This window comes from Homo sapiens, chromosome 17, assembly GCF_000001405.40.
Source record: "Homo sapiens chromosome 17, GRCh38.p14 Primary Assembly".
NCBI classification, from domain to species: domain Eukaryota; kingdom Metazoa; phylum Chordata; class Mammalia; order Primates; family Hominidae; genus Homo; species Homo sapiens.
The window spans coordinates 16,688,488-16,708,005 of NC_000017.11; the positions used below are offsets into that span (position 1 = coordinate 16,688,488).

Genomic DNA, 19,518 nt, shown 5'->3' on the forward strand with positions numbered 1-19,518 from the left:
TTTTTTTTTTTTTTTTTTTTGAGATGGAGTCTAGCCCTGTCGCCAGGCTGGAGTACAGTGGCATGATCTTGACTCACTGCAACCTCCACCTCCTGGGTTCAAGCGATTCTTTTGTCTCAGCCTCCCGAGTAGCTGGGACTACAGGCACGTGCCAGCACGCCCAACTAATTTTTGTATTTTTAGTAGAGAACAAGGGGTCACCATGTTAGCCAGGATGGTCTTGATCTCTTGACCTCATGATCTACCTGCCTCTGCCTCCCAAAGTGTTGGGATTACAGGTGGGAGCCACTGCGCCCGGCCACAGATATTTTGTAAATGATTGCTTCCTTACGCCTTTCTAGTTCATGTTTTCTTATACATAGTTACATTTCTTCTTTGCTATACTAAAAATCCCTAATTTTAGTTGGTCAGAGAGAGGGATTTGAGACTGAGCTCCCATCTCCTCGGCTGCAGCATCTGATTAAAGCCTTCTTCCTTTGCAATACTCATCTCAGTGATTGGCTTTCTGTGGGTGAGCAGCGCAGGATCTAGGCTGAAGCCCTGAGGCTTCAGTGACAAAATCTGTTTTTCATAATGCTATCTGTCTTAATTGTCCTCAAGAATTAGTATTTGAGTGCTCTCTAGATTCTCCTTTGTCACCCTTCCTTCCTTTCTTTCTTCCTTTCTTCCTTCCTTCTTTCCTTCTCTTTGCTTCGTTCTCTCCTTCCTTCTTTTCTTTCTTTTTTTGAGACGGAGTCTTGCTCTGTCGCCCAGGCTGGAGTTTGGTGGCACGATATCAGCTCACTGCAACGTTCACCTCCCGGGTTCAAGAGATTCTCCTGTCTCAGCCTCTGGAGTAGCTGGGACTACAGGCACGCGCCACCACGCCCAACTAATTTTTGTATTTTTAGTAGAGAGGGTTTCACCATGTTGGCCAGGCTGGCCTCAAACTCCTGACCTCAAGTGATCTGCCCGCCTCAACCTCCCAAAGTGCTGGGATTACAGGTGTGAGCCACCGCGCCTGGCCGTCACTTTTCTTCAATCTCACTGGTGCTCGCGGGCTGAAGGGTCAGGACGGACTAGAGGCGAGCAATCCTGGTGGCACCAGGCGTTCCCCGACCCGCCCGGGTCGCCAGCTGCACGGACCCTGGGCAGATGCGCGCAGCGGCTGCGGCACACGGCGGGGAGCGGCTGCTTGGCCCCATCCTAAGGCAGCAGAATGCCCAGAGCTGGTCCCTGGCTCCAGGCGCAGGCCGAGTAGGAGCTGGGCGGGCAGCGGCGTCGGGCAGGCCCTTCCAGCCGGGCTGACAGGCCGCTCTGACCCAGCCATCTGACTCCGCTTGCGTCCTGGCAGCGCGGACCCTAGGGCAACTTTGCTGCAGTGGCCAAGCCGGGGGCGGAACTGACCCGTACCCCTGAACCGAGCAAGCCTAGGAGCAGGTGCGCCGGCGGCGCTGTGAAGCGGCACTCATGACAGGCAGGCTGGGCACCGCCACCCCGAAACCTCCGAGGGAGGACCAGCCAGCCCAGGTTGGCGCTGGAGCTGCAGCGCCACCTGCAGGCCAAGGAGTCTTTTTCTGGGAGGCTGGAGCTGCAGCGCCACCTGCAGGCCAAGGAGTCTTTTTCTGGGAGGCTGGAGCTGCAGCGCCACCTGCAGGCCAAGGAGTCTTTTTCTGGGAGGCTGGAGCTGCAGATGCAGTGAAGTCACAGGTTCCGTGATGTCACAGGTGGGCAGGCGCACTGGTCTGTAACGGATTGGCTTGGCCTTACCCACGAGGCTTTGCGGTGGCTGTTGGCTTGGCGGTGGTCGCTTGGCTTGGCGTGGCAGTGATCGCTTGGCTTGGCATTTCTGGCTTGGCGGTCCTCCTTTCGCAGATTGGAAACCGCGGGCTATCCTGCTGGGAGGTTGTGGCCGAGGCAGTAGCTCGCTACTGATGGCCTCCTGGGGTGGAGAAAAGCGGGGAGGGGCTGAGGGGTCTCCGAAGCCGGCAGTCTACGCCACGAGGAAGACCCCTAGCGTCGGGAGCCAGGGGGACCAGTGGTACTTGGGCTACCCGGGGGACCAGTGGTCCTCGGGCTTCCCCTACAGCTGGTGGAAAAACAGCGTCGGCAGCGAGAGCAAGCACGGTGAGGGCGCCTTAGACCAGCCCCAGCACGACGTCCGCCTGGAAGATCTTGGCGAGCTCCACAGAGCTGCCCGGTCGGGCGACGTCCCTGGGGTGGAGCACATCTTAGCTCCTGGAGACACTGGCGTGGACAAGAGGGATAGGAAGAAGAGGTAATGGCCAGGCGAAGGATGCGCCGTCCTGTCGGGGACACTGGCTTTCTGGTGCCCGCAGGCCCCACGGCACCCGGGATGGGGAAACGTCAGAGGGGTCAGGGGCCCAGGCCTCTTAGTGAGACGGGATCAAATATAAAGGATTATTACTATTGCAAAAGTGTTGGTCTACTTTACAGGAGTTTTCTTTAAAAATATTGCACTTCCCAACTGTGTTTATCCATTTTCTCAATTTATTCATCAAACATAAGCTGAATACCTATTATACAGCAGACATATTCTACTGTCGCTCAGGTTCCTTCCATCCTTAAGAACTTCATGTTGGCCGAGCTCGGTGGCTCATGCCTGTAATCCCAGCACTTTGGGAGGCCGAGGAGGGCAGATCACGAGGTCAGAAGTTCGAGACCAGGCTGACCAACATGGTGAAACCCCGCCTGTTATGCTTTTGTCTCAGCCTAGACTTAGCTAAGACCTTCATGATAAATTATCCTTTAGGCCCTCGGGGTTCAGTTCAAATAATGTTGCAGAAAGAGAGGAGTTTCCTTTTTTCATTGCTACCAGATCTGTATGCTGAGGACCCTTTTCTTAGATCGTGGAATGTCCCATATTATCCTTTCCCAGATTTGTGGCAGGAAGCCATCACCAGAATTCTGAGTCTCAAGTATGTTAGTTGGATTTAACAGAGCTAAGTCTCATCCATGACTCATGAATATCCATGTATAAAATGAGAGCTTTGGCAGGGTGCAGTGGCTCATGCCTGTAATCCCAGCAATTTGGGAGGCTAAGGTGGGCGGATCACGAGGTCAGGTGATTGAGAGCATCCTGGCTAACACGGTGAAACCCCGTCACTACTAAAAAATACAAAAAAAAAATAGCCGGGCGTGGTGGTGGGCGCCTGTAGTCCCAGCTACTCAGGAGGCTAAGGCTGGAGAATGGCATGAACCCAGGAGGCGGAGCTTGCAGTGAGCCGAGATCGCGCCACTGCACTCCAGCCTGGGTGACAGAGCGAGACTCAGTCTAAAACAAACAAACAAACAAACAAACAAACAAAACTTGCTTCAGCAGCAAACATATACTGAAATTGGAACAAAATGGAGAGAAATTAGCATGGCCCCTGCCTGCATAAGGATGATGCACAGATTTTTGAAGTGGTCCATATTTTGCGCAGTCACTAGAAGTTCATTTGACTATTTGCTGACTAGTTCCAAAGACAGTGTGAGTCAAAGCAAACTGGGTATCACCTAATATTAAAATTGTGATTTTTCACTACAAAAATATGCAGTAAGGTGATCAATGGAGCTGAGTAACACGTGGGATGTTGTGTGCAAATATATTGTCAGTATGTATCTCAGAAATGAGAGAATGTCAACTTGCATGTCTTTCATGGAACTGAAAAAGAAAAGTAGCATTTTGTTTTCCATGTCAGTTGGAGATGAACATGGGGATTGAGCATCCTTCTAACAAAGATCTGCCGATTCAGAGTTTGAGTCTGTATGGAACAGTAGTCCAAGCTAGGTCTTGACATCTATTAGCTTTCTCCCCTTGGCGTGATTGATGAGCTCAGTAATAGTGGACAGTGTTGTTATCTAGTTTGATGAAATAATATATTTATAAGTAAATTTAGTTACAAACTATGAACTAGCTGTGATGCCCCAAATTATAAGCCACAAAGAATAGAACTAATAAAACTAGAACTTAATAACAGTTTTGGAAAACTGCAACATTTGAATATTAGAACCTCTGGAAAAATACACATTGGGTTTTATTTGTGATTCCAAAACCATTTCCTCAATAAAGCTCAAGAACAAATTATTTCATTGCTTCACTGTTTCTCTGAGCATTTACAAAACGTTTTCTTGTTAAATCTTTAACAACCTAGTGAAATAAGGCAGTAAAATCCTTGCTTTTTAGAAGAATACATTGAGCCTAAGAGAAGCAACTTGTCAGAGAATAAATAGCTGCTGGTAATAGAGCTAGGACGCTTTCCATTATGCCAAGCTAATGTGAGTTAATTTACTGAGCTATACTCCCTTCAATTCATGAGTACTTCATCTTTTTTTCTTCTTCAGAAGCTTAAAGAGAAGTTGGTAGAACTCACAAATTGAAGTATATGGGATAATTAAAGTTCTGATATTAACTCTGATATTGTTTGAAATACTCTAAAAATTTAATATATTTGGTATTTTTCATTTGTTTTAAAATAGTAATTTCATTTATTACATTTTTATCCATAGCATTCAGCAACTAGTTCCTGAATATAAGGAAAAACAGACACCTGAAAGTCTTCCTCAAAATAACAATCCAGGTAAGACTTCTGATAGTGAATTATTTTTGGTGGTCCTACCATAGGTAAAAAAGAAGTAAGAGTAAGGAAGTTTTGATCATGAAAGAGCAGTTTTAAAAAATCTTTATTTCTTTCTTGATAGGTTAGATTTCTTGGTAGGTTAGATGTCACAATTATTTAAAAAGTTAATTGTAGGTCATTTATTTTTTCAAACAATCTGGTCTGAAAAAAAATTAATTATGGTCCCTAAAATCCTATGTGATATTTTTGTATAAATAAGAAAAAGTGTTTTTTTTTGTTTTTTTTTTGAGACGGAGTCTCGCTGTCGCCCAGGCTGGAGTGCAGTGGTGCGATCTCGGCTCACTGCAGGCTCCACCCCCTGGTTCACGCCATTCTCTTGCCTCAGCCTGCGGAGTAGCTGGGACTACAGGCGCCCGCCACCCCGCCCGGCTAATTTTTTGTATTTTTAGTAGAGATGGGGTTTCACCGTGTTAGCCAGGATGGTCTCGATCTCCTGACCTCATGATCCATCCGCCTCGGCCTCCCAAAGTGCTGGGATTACAGGCGTGAGCCACCGCGCCCGGCCAAGAAAAAGATATTTTTGAGTTAGTAAGTTGTATGTTTTCTTTATAGTCACCTTATAATGAATTAGACTTGTTATGAAATTGGAACTTCTATTTAATTTTTAAAATAAATGACTTATGTTTAGTAAATGAATATCAATCACAATTGACCCTTAACAATGTGGAATTTAGGGATGCTTGATTCCCTCTGCAGTCAAACATCTGTGTATAACTTTTGACTCCCCCAAGAACGTAACTACTAATAGCTAACTGTTGACCAGCAGCCTTATTGATAACATAAACAGTCAATTAAGATATGTTTGGTATGGTATATGTATTAATATGCTGTATTCTTACAATAAAGGAAGCTAGGGAAATAAACTGTTAAGAAAATCATAAGGCAGAAAAAATACGCTTACTGTTCATTAAATGCAAGTGGATCATTATATAACTCTTCATCATAGTCTTCAAGTTGAGCAGGCTAAGGAGAAGGAGGAAGAGGAAGATTGGTCTTCGCTGTCTCAGGTGGTAGAGGTGGGAGAAAATCTGCTCATAAGTAGACCCCTGCAGTTCAAATCCGTGTTGTTCAAAGGCTAACTATATTACATAGTGATTTGTGTCACTAAAAAAAAGAAATTAGTTTCAAAACTGGAAACTCGGCAATACCTTTCTGGCACCATAAACAAATGGCAATAAGAACTGTGAAATGGCCAGGTGTGCTGCCCACACCTGTAGTCCCAGCAAGTTGGGAGGCCTAGGTGGGAGGATCGCCTGTGTCCAGAAGTTCCAGACCAGCCTGGGTGACATAGTGAGACCACATCTCTACAAAAACAAATAAAAAATTAGCTGGGTGTTTTGGTGCACACCTGTAATCCCAGCTACTTGGGAGACTGAGATGGGAGGATCGCTTGAGCCTGGGAGTCAAGGCTGTAGTGAGCTGTGATCATGATCACAACCTGGATGACAGAGTGAGACCCTGTCTCAGAAAAAAACAAAAACACAAACAAAACCCTGCCAAACATACCCAATGTGCACTAATACTAATGGGAAATTATTTTTTAAAGAGACCTTCTGAGTGCAGAAGTCAGAAAAGCAATTCCTTGTTGAGAAGAACAGGTCATGTTACATACTTATAAACCAACAAGGTGTCACTATTATTGACTTTCCCCCAATTTGAAATCGAATGAGGTATATTTACTTCATTAGAACAAGATGTGTTTTTCTACCTGCTGGTTAATTGCTATGTTAACAGTAATTTTGTTAGAACAAGATATGCTGTTACCATTAGCCAAAAGATTATCACAATAAATATTCAAATAGCCCAACTCTAGGCTCAACAAATTATAATGAAAGTATAAAAATGTTTCACAATAACAAAAAATGCTTCTGTGCTTCCAAGATGTGATGCCTAATGCATTGGACAATCTGAACTGTAAGAGGACACCTTTAATTTAGTACATGTTAATCAAAGAACTTCTCTAAGTTAGGTTTTGCACGTTATGGGAGACAAACATGAAATAGACATAGTTTTGGTCTTTGAGGTGCTCATAATAGAATAGAGCTTTCTCTATTTAACTTCTGTGTTTTTTTCAACAGAATTTTCAAGGAAATCATTTATTCATTTGTCCACTTAACAAATAATTATCAAATGTCTTTTAGTACTAAGCATTTTTTTTCTAATGTTACAGAATACAGACATTTAAAAATACTGCTGGGGCCAGCACAGTGGTGCATGCCTGTAATCTCACCACTTTGGGAGGCTGAGATGGGAGGATCACTTGAGCCCAGAAGTTCGAGACCAGCCCGGGCAACATGACAAGACCTCATCTCTACTAAATTTTTTAAAAAACAATAAAACATTAGCTGGGCATGGTGCCAGGTGCCTGTACTTCCAGCTACTTGGGAGGCTGAGGTGGGAGGATTGCTTGAGCCTGGCTGTTTGAGGCTACAGTGAGCTATGATCATGCCACTGCACTTGTGTCTGGGTAACAGAGTGAGACCCTGTCTCAAAAAAGAAAAAAAACAAACCAACAAAACCCAGGAGCTTGTTATTATCATTGTCACTTTAATTATTTGATGAATTATTTATTCAGTGCCTACTACTGTGTTAGATGCCCTCTGGAACCGTATAGTGATCATTTATTATGTTAAATATGTGCCAGACACTTTATGTGGTGAGGAATGAAAGCTGTAAAAAAGTGGGTAAGATTTAAGGTAAGCATGAAGAGTGAGTAGAACTTTTATAGGTAAAGAGGCAGAAGGATGATGTGGGCAGAAGATTGTGTGTTTGGCAGAAGGAGCAGCGAGTGCAAAAGTAAGATGCTTGAGTGAACTTTGCAGGGTTTATGAGCAGTTCAGTTTTGCCAGTGCAAAACATATGAGATGTGAATGGTTGGGAATGAAGTGAATACCTAAGGCAAGCTCATGACAGACTTTTTTTTGAGACAAAGTCTCACTCCGTCACCCAGGCTGGAGTGCAGTGGCGTTCTCTTGGCTCACTGCAACCTCCGCCTCCCGAGTTCAAGTGATTCTCGTGCCTCAGCCTCCCAGGTAGCTGGGAATACAGGCGCGAGCCACCATGCCCAGCTGATTTTTGTATTTTCAGTAGAGACAGGGTTTCGGCATGTTTGACAGGCTGGTCTCAAACTCCTGACCTCAAGTGATCCACCCACCTTGGCCTCTCAAGTGCTGGGATTACAGATATGAGCCACCACTCCCTGCCCAGACTTTTTAATACTACAGAAATGAGTAGATCTCGGGCCGGGCATGGTGGCTTATGCCTATAATCCCAGCATTTTGGGAGGCCAAGGAGGGCAGATCACAAGGTCAGGAGATCGAGACCATCCTGGCCAACATGGTGAAACCTGTCTCTACTAAAAATACACATGAAAAATTAGCTGGACGTGGTGGAGCATGCCTATGGTTCCAGCTACTCAGGAGGCTGAGGCAGGAGAATCACTTGAACCTTGGAGGCAGAGGCTGCAGTGAGCCAAGATCGCACCACTGCACTCCGGCCTGGGTGACAGAGCAAGACTCTGTCTCAAAAAAAAAAAAAAAGAAAAGAAAAGAAAAAAGAAAGAAATGAGTAGAACTTTTCCTGTAGGCCATGGGAAATTTACCAGGTGGAATGCTTTGGGCTATAAATACTAGATGACCTAACTAACAGTGGCTAAAACAGTAGGGACCAGAGTTGTTTTGATGGTTCAGTGATAACACGGTGTTTTGTTCATGTCTGTTTTCATGGCTGACTAATTAGCAACAGCTCCAAACATCATGGTCTCACCGACAATATCTGAAGGCTGAAAGGGTGGCTTTTCTTTACATATTTCTTTTAGTTAGGGAGAAGACTCAGAAGGGTGCAGTTGACTTCCTGTAACATTTTATTGGCTGGGTCCTACCACATGCTCATTCCTAAACCAGGCACTGGGGAAGCAAATGTAATTACTATGATGAGCTTAGAATAATCATTTCTTCTTTTGGAGTGGGGAGGGCTATTGGCATGATAAATATCCAAATAGATGCGTGTTTCTCCAGCAAGACAGAACAGGGAATCGCTATTGGGTAGGGAGACAGCAATGTTTACTGTAGGGACTCATTGGAGTGGGGAGTCACATGATTAGATTTGAGTATTAGGGCAATCTGGTTATGGTATAAAGCAGGGATTGGCAAGCATTTTCTGTACAGGGCTTTTTCATGTGGTCTGTCATTCCTACTCAACCGTACCATTGAAGTATGAAAACAGTCATAAAAAGGCAAGCAAATATACATGACTGAGCTCCGGTAAAACTTTATTTACAAAACTATAAGGCAGACTGGATTTGCTCCATGGCCTGTAGTTTGCTGACCCCTCATATGGAGAGCAGCTGGAAGATAACCACATAAAGAGACAGGGAAACAAAAGAAACATTTGCATTTATCAGAGCTATAGTTTCCTTGTGCTGTCCTCAGACTAGTGTCAGTCTGTTGTGAGGTTTTCACCCATCCATGGTGAAATCAGTAAGGTTAAGGAGCTCAGTTATTCATTTAAAAATGTCGGTCTTTTTCTTGGCATGATGCCTTTTTCATTTATTTTACTTAAACTTTTTTTTTCATTTAAGAAATAACATTAATAGTTGTTTTTTCCCTATAAAAGCCAATTCTTAAGAGCCCATGTTTAACTAGGAAATATAAACATAAAATAAACGTGTCATAGTGGAAATATAAAGCAGATGGAGAAAAGAGGTACAGTTAATATGATTTAGTGACTGTTGAATGTAAAAAGATAGGGGATAGGGAGAAATCTCAGATGATTCTCAGGTTTCTGGCTTGTGCCCTAGCATTTAACCGGGACACGAGGGAGTAGGCAGTTTTCAGGTGTATAGAGGAGAGCAGCAGGTCAGCAGTCACGACTAACAGTTTTCTCTGCATTGCTGAGTTTACTGAAATGTCCATGTGGGATATTTTCAGTAGGTAATTGGAAAAATTTTTATGGCTGGAGATGGAACTCTGAGGTTGGAGTTGCAGACTTGGAATAACTGAGGCAAAGTTGTAGATCTGAGTGAGCTTGTCCATGATGGGAAAGGTATAGAATGAGCAGAGGGCCAGTGACAGAACCCTGGGCATATCAGCATTTCCCAGAGGAATTAGGAAAGAAGCCTGAGCCGTGGCTAAAGAAAAAGAGGAGAGGAATCATAAAGTCATGTTGCAAAAATTTACAAAGGTGAGAATTTCAAGGAGGGAGTATCAATTCTAACCAGTAAGATTACTAAAAAGTAAAGTGAGTTAACCTTTTAAAAGCCTTCAGTGGCACTGTCTTCTAAAGAACAATCATAGAGTTGTGGGGTTCGCTGTTTATGTGATCAGTACTTCTGATGTTCAAATGTGGAAGAATACACCTACCAAGAGTCTACCTAACTTTTGTAACTGCAGCAGCTCCCTGTACAGGATCAGGGAAAATGGTCAAGACTGGTGAGTTAATGTACCACCATTTTCCTAGAATTGTCTAAACCTAAGGTCATATGTGAGGAAAAGTGTAGTCTTTCTTACCTGCTTTTTTGTGGAAATGCTTGTTTGGTACTCAAGTCCTTGATAGGCTCTTCTGAATGCATTCCCAAACAAACATCTGACAACAACAACTGGAAGCCACCACCAGATGCACGTATATATCCTTCCTCTGACATGGAATCATAATACAGCCATGTTGTGACACAATTTCAGGTTTTGATTAAAAATAGTTTACAGGCCAGCAGTTTAGACAAACTGACATTTTAAAAATATTTTATTGCAGGAAACTAATATAATGTCCTGGAGAAAAATATAAAGCGAAATGCTGAATATAGCAGTTCTCAGTACTTGGGGTTTTGGTCACATCAGGAGAAAAGTCAGTGCCTGACTCCTTTTGTTAGTGCAGTTCCCTTTTCATTTACCCTCTTGTGATATTTCTGCTTTTACTGCTTCCTTTTGAATTCCATTCCTAAAGAAAATACTATTAGAACACATTTCAAATGCACTTCTTTATATCTGCACCACAATGACACAATGATGATGGTCTGCCAAGATTTTAAGTGTCTTCTGGGTTGTCAAATACAAATTGTTTTATCTGACATAGTTTAAATGTGAAGTGCTTTTCTGGTATTACATTTCTTCAGAAATTGGTAATCTGTGATTTAACTAGAATATGTGGTCAATTGGATTACCACACTTTTAACCATCTATACATAAGATGTCTCTTCTCCCGGCCAGATAAGTTAAAAGTCCTGTTGATCCTTACTGATCAGTTCCACTATTTGCAGGGTTTTTTGGACTTTTTTTGTTGTTGTTGTTGAGACGGAGTCTCGCTCTTCCACCCAGGCGGGACTGCAGTGGCGCTATCTCGGCTCACTGCAAGCTCCGCCTCCCGGGTTCACACCATTCTCCTGCCTCAGCCTCCTGAGTAGCTGGGATTACAGGCGTGAGCCACCGCGCCCGGCCTGGACTTTTTTTTTGAACGGGTGTGATTATAGCACACTGCAGCTTTAGTTCCTAGCCTCAAGCAATCGTTCTGCCTCAGCCTCCTGAGTAGGTGGAACAACAGATGTGTGCTACTGCACCTGGCCTGCTGCACAATTATTATAAAAATGAATTAAATCCTACCTAGTGGGAGAAAATTGACTGTGATCTTATAATTTTTTGTTCCAGAAACTTTTATACTGTAGAATATATTGTCAGTCATTAAGATTTTCTATTTTTAATTGGGTTAAAATAGGATTGTTGCTTTTTAAAATTACTTTCTGACATCAGTTTCATGCATTTTTAATGCCTTTAGTCCAGTGGATATAGCAGTACAGGAATCTCCAAGGCAAATGTCAAAAAATAAAAAATAAGCAGATTAGGGAAAGGTATTCTGTGAAATTACCTTCTGATTGTAGTCACATGTAACACATCAACTTAAACAATAAAAAATTGTATAATGCAATTGTATCAGGGGTTCCCAAGACCCCCTTCACTGAGGTTTGGTAATTCACTGAGAAGGACTCACAGGACTCAGCAGATAGTCATACTTGGGGCTTTGATTTATTACATTTAATACAGCAAAAAGACACAAAGCAACATTCGAGAAAGGAAAAGGTGCATGTGTCAAAGTCTGGAGGAAGCCAGGCACAAGCTACAGGAGTCATCTCCTGTGTAGCTAGCAGGATATGCTTAATTCCCCCAGCCTCAAATTTTGATGACACATGTGCAATGTTGTCTACCTTACCAGAGTTTCATTAGAGGCTCAGCACCCATGTTTTCGATGGAGGCTAGTCACATAGGCCACCTCTCCTCTCCCTCACATGTAACAAAACTCTAGACTCCCAGGAGGAAATTAATTGTTCATAGTAAACCACATTTGCACAAACAGTTTAGGCACAGTGAGCCACTCCCTTCTTCTAAGTTAGGGAATGCTGGGAACCCTCCCAAATTCAAGGTCCCAAACACCAGCCAAGGACTAGCCTTGCAAGCAAGCCTTTCTAAGGATGGGTGTCTCATGCCTGCTATATGAAATCTTTGCTGCCCAGCAGCTATGCCCCTGAGTAAATTTTTGGTGTTATCTTAAAATTTTATATAATATAATAGCAAATAATATGACAGACCATAACATGGTACTGGTTTCAGTTGCATCATTCATATTAAATAGCAAGGCTGCTTACAGTTTTGACATTTGGTGAATACTTAACAGGTATTGGTACATAAGTTACTATGGCAATATTAAGTAATTATAATCTGTCCTTCTTATCTGATTAACCTTTCAGTAAAATTGTGGGATAAAGTAGGCATAATAAGTTCTGATTTAAAATTAGAATAAAAATTATCTTTCATTTTATTTTCATGGATGGACCAGTTTTGATTCATATTGTACTAGATCCCTGTTTACAATTATGAAATAAGATCAGATATTCAATCATTTTTGTGAATTTTTTTTGCCTAAGTATACAATTAAAATTAATTGCTTTATGTGTTTTTATATGCTTCAATTTGGGAGATAGTACTCATATTCTGTTACCTTGATCTTTAGTGATTTGCAATTTTCAAGGTGACTCTGTCTTTTTATAATTTAGGGTAATAGCAAGTTCAGTGAGTATGTGCTTTAAAATTAATAATATTATTTTCTGAGCAGTTTTAGATTCACAGCAAAATTGAGAAGGTACAGAGATTTTCCATATTCCCCATGACCCCTGACATATGAATAGCCTCCCTCATTATCAGTACCCCCCATCGGAGTTCATCAGAGTTACAGTTGAGGAATCTACCTTGACAGACACATCACCCCCAAGGTCCACAGTCTACGTTAGGGTTCACTCTTGGTGTTGTACATTCTATGGTGTTGGACAAATGTGTGATGGCATGTATATACCCTTGTAGTATCACAGACAAAATAGTTTCACTGCCCTAAATATCCTCTGTCCTCCACTGTTTCGTCTCTTCCTCTCCACTGGTTTCTGGCAACCATTGGTCTTTTTGGTGTCTCAGTAGTTTTGCTTTTTCCAGACTAGTCATATAGTTGGAATAAAACAGTGGTGGATATCTTTTTGAATATTTAAACAATAAAGTTCCATGGTAATTTGATTCTGTCATTTTAGATGTTCTTTGTCCTTGCGTTTGTTTTCCTCATGTTGTGTTCATCAGAACAGGATCTGATGGCATATGATTTGACGTGCTGAGAAAGCGTGATCTCTGTAGACGTTTGCCACGTAACGGGGAGGGTGGGGAAAAATGGCATCATGCAGTATTCCACAGCACTAACTGGACCATTGTGCTCTAGGAGATGGGTCCAGATAGACTCTAGCGATGGGACGGGATAATCTCAGGAGCTGGACTTTATAAAACTAGAATCACAAAGTCTTGCATACTTACCTTGCACTTAAAAAGAAGATCAGGCAGTGAACACTACAGGTGAATAAATATGTTCCTCTCTGGTTCTCTTCCTTTTAGGGATGAGCTTGAAAACAGTCTATATTATTATAATATGGCTCATCTACAACTAAATGCTCTGTCATAGGAAATGCCAGTGTTTTTCTTTACAATAAATGAAAAATAATTTTGTTTTCACCAGAGAGAGTAACAACTGTTGGCACATTCTGGCAGCTTGAGTGAGCTGATAGTTCTGTTCATATATATTTTTCTTACCAGGTAGTACTCCCTGGCAACCTGCCACCACTGTGGCAGTGTTTCTTCTTAAGCTTCTCACTGAATGAACGGTGTGGCTCAGAGTGAATAAGCTCTTTAAGGGAGTGATCTTTCCAATGGTTCTGTCCATAGGAGGTAAAATGGGAGGTGAATTTGAGCCTTGTTTGTGCTAGGGAAAATAGCTAGAACTCAGTAAACATTGCCAGCATCTGCCCCAGAAGAGGATTAGTGAGAGTGAGTACACTGATCTCCCTTGAGCTCTTCTCCACTGGCAGCTGAGAAGTCTTTGCAAAGATCCTTGTCCCTGGTCTCTTCCCTATGTTTTGCCACATAACACAGCACAGCACCCATAGACCTACACAACAAAATGTACAGTTTTCCCCCCTTATCCATGGGGGATATGTTCCAAGACCCCCAGTGAATGCCTGGAAGTGTGGATAGTACTGAACCCTAGATATGCAGTGTCAGGATAGAAGGAAGAGGATAAGAGTAAAAGGGGGAATAAAGAATGTGGAAGGCAGAGAGTACAGAGAGTAAATGAAGGGAAAAGAAGCAAGTGGATATGATGGAGGGTGGTAAAATGAGATAATACTTCAAAAGAAGAGTGGGGTATTAGAAAGGTGGAAAGAATATAAGGTGAACGTGCAGCACCAAAACTTATCAGATAAGACAAACTTTACTTGCCAATATGTTAGTTGTGCTTTAAGTTTAATTATTTCATCATAGTGTGGCTATACTGATGATTTTAAGCCAGTCAGATATTCTGGTCAGCAAATCATGTGTGTGTGTGTTTTGATTATCAAAAATGAAGAAAGCAATTAATTACCCTTAATAACTATATGGTGGACACAGTCTTTTAAAACATTGATTCTGAAACTTTTTGGCCTGGGGTTCGTTTTATATGATTAAATATTATTGCCTAGAGGGAACCAACACCCTGAATTAAGAATTTATTATGTCCATTCCCTTTTAAAACATTTTATTACATATGTGTATGGTCATAAATAATATGTAGAATTTGTTTTCATGTCCTAAAATTGTATATAAATTGTTTTACACTCTACATATTTTGCAACTTTCTTTTGTCTGGTCACATTACATTTTTGAGGTCAGTCCTTATTGACACAGGAAGCTCTGGTTTTCTATCAAATGACTGGATCTCAAAGTCTCTTCATAATGATAAATAAATAATTAAAATAAAGAAAAATTATTGCAAATTCCAAAGAGCTTTTATTTAAGTCAGTTGTGTCTTTTGATATTTACTATTTTAGAAATAAAAACTAAAATATTTTAAAAACAAGCATGCGGCCGGGCGTGGTGGCTAACGCCTGTAATGCCAGCACTTTGGGAGGCCAAGGCGGGCGGATTACGAGGTCAGGAGATCGAGACCATCCTGGCTAACACGGTGAAACCCCGTCTCTACTAAAAATACAAAAAATTAGCCGGGCGTGGTGGAGGGCACCGGTAGTCCCAGCTACTCGGGACGCTGAGGCAGAGAATGGCGTGAACCCGGCAGGTGGAGCTTGCAGTGAGCCGAGATCGCGCCACTGCACTCCAGGCTGGGTGACAGAGTGAGACTCCATCTCAAAAAACAAACAAACGAACAAAAAAACACAAGCACGCACAGCCATACATTCCAATAGCCTTTAGAACTATGACCCATTCACCATTAGAGCTATGATGTTATGACACACCATGTCTATGAAAAGCTCCACTGTACACGTGAAACAGAATGAGAGTGAAAATGGCAAATAACATTTTGTATTATTTGACGTCTTGGCCCCTCATCTGGATCTTGAACTCCAGGGATTCTCAGATCATAATTTAGAGTCAACATTTTAAACCACATATGTGGTTGTGGATAAATGCACCCTTTATGGTGAAATGGACTTTAAAGTTTCACTTATGTGTTTTTGGCTTTTTTCTTTCACTTGTCTTAAAAAATTTAAATCTCAGGCCGGGCGCGGTGGCTCACGCCTGTAAATCCCAGCACTTTGGGAGGCCAAGGCAGGCGGATCATGAGGTCAGGAGATTGAGACCATCCTGGCTAACGCGGTGAAACCCCGTCTCTACTAAAAATAAAAAAAAATTAGCCGGGCGTAGTGGCAGGCGGCTGTAGCCCCAGCTACTCAGGAGGCTGAGGCAGGAGAATGGTGTGAACCCGGGAGGCGGAGCTTGCAGTGAGCCGAGATTGCGCCATTGCACTCCAGCCTGGGTGACAAAGCGAGACTCCGTCTCAAAAAATAAAAAAAAAAAATTTTACATCCCAACAATTTTGTTTATATAGTAAAAAGGAAAATATTTTTGTTATGTATTCCTTTCCTGTCTCGTGGCACTGTGTGCTATTTGGATCTAGTGTGGTCCTAGACTAATCCTGTTCTCACATGGGAACAGTTAGAGCCCTTACAGCTCTTATTTTGCAAATAAATGTATGAAGTTTATCCAAGTATTTGAAAGGAAATTCTGAAGATAGTGGTGCATTGAGGAAAGACCATCTCATTATAATTAAAATAGTTTTAAAAGTATATTTATTATGAGTTTTTGTAAATCCTGTGTCTCTACAATACATACATACAATGCTGTCATGTATATTTAAGCTTAAAATAGTTAGACATAAATTCTGTTTTAAAAGATTTATATCCACGAAGAATCTTAATGGAAAGCAAAATATGTATTAGAGACTCCTGAGTGAATAAAAGTAAGTAATAGTAAGCAGTAAAAATGTAGAAAAGTGAGAGATGATAGTTAATTATACTTACCTGAATGAATTGTAAGCATAGGACATGTAAAATATAATAAGCCTGAATGCATAGTGTGTTGTGGGAGAGAGCAGGATGTAGGACTGTTTCTGTGAAGAAAGCATGTATACAAGTTAGTCAAATTATTGTGTTATTTACATCCTAAAAATGAAAACTTCATTTTCGGATTTTTCAGATTGGCATCCTACTAATTTGACCCTTAGTGATGAGACTTGTCAGAGATCCAAGAATCTGAAAGTTGATGATAAATGTCCATCTGTATCACCATCAATGCCTGAAAATCAGTCAGCAACCAAAGAACTGGGACAGATGAACTTAACAGAACGAGAAAAGATGGACACTGGAGTTGTACTTCTCTCAGGGAATGATACTCTCCATGACCTGTGCCAATCACAGCTACCAGAAAACAAAGAGAGCAAAGAAGGTAACAAAGAAGCATAGAGAATTCAGTCCTAGAGTGCCTCTGCTTGGCTGCATAGAGCTATAGTTCTGACTTAAAAAAACTTTTTCTGGTAAAATGTGCTTTGTGTTTACTCACCTTTTGCACTGAACAGAATACTTTTTGGCAGGATATTTGTGTTCTTCCTTTAACCAAAGCAACATCTAGATAACAGAGAATTAGGGGAAAGCATGATTTTCTTTAGGAAGTAGGATTATATTTAGAATATAGGGACTAAGTATGTTTAGGGACTAACATAGGATTATATTTAGGATAACTTAGTAGAGACCTAAAGATTGCTGACTCAAACACAATGTGGTTTCTTTGCTTTATTTTTACAGCTCTGAATTCACAGCTGTTAGTTATAACTATATGCACTACAATTTAAAAGACACCTTCCCACACCTGTAATCTCAGCACTTTAGGAGGCCGAGGTGGGTGGATCATGAGGTCAGTAGTTCGAGACCAGCCTGGCCAATATGGTGAAACCCCATCTCTACTAAAAATACAAAAAAAAAACTAGCTGGGCATGGTGGTGAACGCTTGTAGTCCCAGCTACTCAGGAGGCTGAAGCAGGAGAATCGCTGGAACCCAGAAGGTGGAGGTTGCAGTGAGCCGAGATTGCGCCACTGCACTCCAACCTGGGCAATAGAGGAAGACTCCGGTCTCAAAAAACAAAAACAAAAAAACACCTTCCAAAAGCAAATATTAAGTGACTTCCTATCGTTTCTATGACTTTATGTATTATAGAATTGACTTTCCAAGTCAGTAATTAATGAGACTTATTGAGAATTTGCTGCATAGTATCTCCTTGGCTGTGTCCACATGAGCTACCACCTTGCGTTAATAAATGTGTTCGCTAGGGATGTTGGTTTTGGCATTGACAGTGTTCTATCACCAATGCAAATAAGACCAGGGACCACTCTTGAGAACATTAATGTCCAAGCATCTTAAAGTTGTACGTAAGGCTTTCATAATGTGACTTCTGCTCAGCTCTCCATCTTTAGCCCTTTCCCCTGTGTGCCCTTTCTCTGGCCTTACTGAACTGCTGGTCCTGTCCTGCTGACCCATCCTTCGACTGCAGGCAAACACATACACTCTTTCAGGCCTCTTTCTGCCTTTTGTTGCTGCCTGTCATGCTCTCACTCTTTCCTGTCCCCTACCCCTTCTAATTAGGCTAGCCTCACTCTTTAAGCCTCAGCTCGGGCAGGATCTCTAGAAAAGTCATCTCTGACATGCTTTCTTTTCACTCTTTAAATCCTAGTGCCTAGCACATAGCAAGACTCAATACATAATTGCTGAGTAAAATAGATAATGACTCTTTGTACAAAGATGATTTTCAAGATTGTTCCCTACAGTCAAGGAGCAAAGGGAATAGACATGTAAAGCAATAATTGACAGTTCGGGTGGTGGAGATGCAGTAGAAAAATCAGTTCTAGGGCAGCCCTAAGGAAGGAGATACCTAGATACCTGTTTACCTGGGGAAAGATGAGGATGAGGGTCAACTTCACCTAGCAGTCTGTTTTTTATTTTATGTATTTTATTTATTTATTTTTAGCAGTCTGTTTTAAAAGATGAAAATATTAATACGTTTGTCAGAATAATACAGGGAACCATTTCAGATGTTAGGAAGTGGTTGTACACCAATAAAGGTGTCCACAGTCATTTTGGAAATCATTAATAAGGTACTATTATGAAGTGGAGAACAGTATGCAGCATTGCCTGATAATATTACTACTGCATTCCAAAATTTTGTTTTGTTTGTGATGGCTTTGTTCATTGATGTTGGGTGGATGAATCTGTGAGTGAATCTTCAACATGATTGTATTTCTTTAACCTGGTGGCATCTAGTGTCTCCCAGAAAGTGGTTTGTTGAAGTTTTGGAGAATTAGAAGTATTTCTTAAAGAAGTAAGTATTCCACTAAAGATCAAGCTTCATTTAAACTCTCAATTTATGAAATAAAATGAAATGTAATTTAAAATCTATTTTTATAAAGACTATGTCTTTTATCTAACTGTTCTAAGTAGTTTAACTGAATGTTTGGATTTTGCAGCAGAACAAGACTCGGAGCTGACATCAGAGGAAGAGCAAGAAAGACTTAAAGGATGCGAAAATAAGCAGCCACAGGTGTGGAAACATTTAAACTAAAATCTAAATTTCTGGTTTAATACTCTTTTCTTTGCTTTAATAATATAAGCTAGCCCAAATGAAATTACCTCTCAGACTAGCCTTTGAGAACCAATAGATCCTTACTTAATATTTAATTTTAAATACATTTAAACTAGTTATAAAACACAATATTGTTAGAATCTATCATAACTTATAGTTAATCTTTACCCTTGGAGTAGAGGCAAACATTCCAGAATTTTGTTTGCTCTTCCATTCTTACAATATCCTTATGGGATAAAGAAGATAATGTCAATTATTGACATATTATTAAGCAGCAGAAATTATGAACAATTTAACAGTGATGGCCACTGAGTTGGATTCATGGTATAAGAGTAATCATGGCCAGTGGCTCAAATTTTGCAGTTTTATATTGCCAGTTACTAATGCCTAGGTTAAAGATGTGGCCTTTCATTGACTTCAC

The 19,518-nt window shown here is 41.4% G+C and overlaps 1 protein-coding gene and 1 pseudogene across 7 annotated transcripts in view, besides 1 other annotated feature; both read left to right on the forward strand.

Annotated features, from left to right (window-relative positions):
• The window catches only part of CCDC144A (coiled-coil domain containing 144A), a 111,165-nt gene that overhangs the window by 21,771 nt on the left and 69,876 nt on the right, over window positions 1-19,518 (forward strand). For 6 of the 7 annotated variants that reach the window (NR_130142.2, NR_167766.1, NM_014695.3 and 3 more), the window contains exons 1-4: window positions 1,754-2,257; window positions 4,492-4,562; window positions 16,664-16,912; window positions 18,982-19,055. Coding sequence is in view for 5 of the 7 variants with exons in the window: in NM_014695.3 (NP_055510.1) it covers window positions 1,914-2,257; window positions 4,492-4,562; window positions 16,664-16,912; window positions 18,982-19,055 (738 nt within the window). In the remaining 2 variants the exon portion in view is untranslated. Of the gene's footprint in view, window positions 1-1,753; window positions 2,258-4,491; window positions 4,563-16,663; window positions 16,913-18,981; window positions 19,056-19,518 lie in introns of those variants that run through there. The other variant, XM_017025429.3, reaches the window with a different exon arrangement.
• Window positions 744-1,647: an enhancer, noted in NCBI's record as "H3K27ac-H3K4me1 hESC enhancer chr17:16592545-16593448 (GRCh37/hg19 assembly coordinates)". NCBI's record gives its function as "activates a minimal SCP1, AML or CMV promoter by ChIP-STARR-seq in primed H9 embryonic stem cells {active_cell/tissue: H9 hESC(primed)}" and the evidence as "EXISTENCE:reporter gene assay evidence [ECO:0000049][PMID:30033119]".
• RNU6-405P (RNA, U6 small nuclear 405, pseudogene) lies at window positions 3,311-3,420 on the forward strand (annotated as a pseudogene).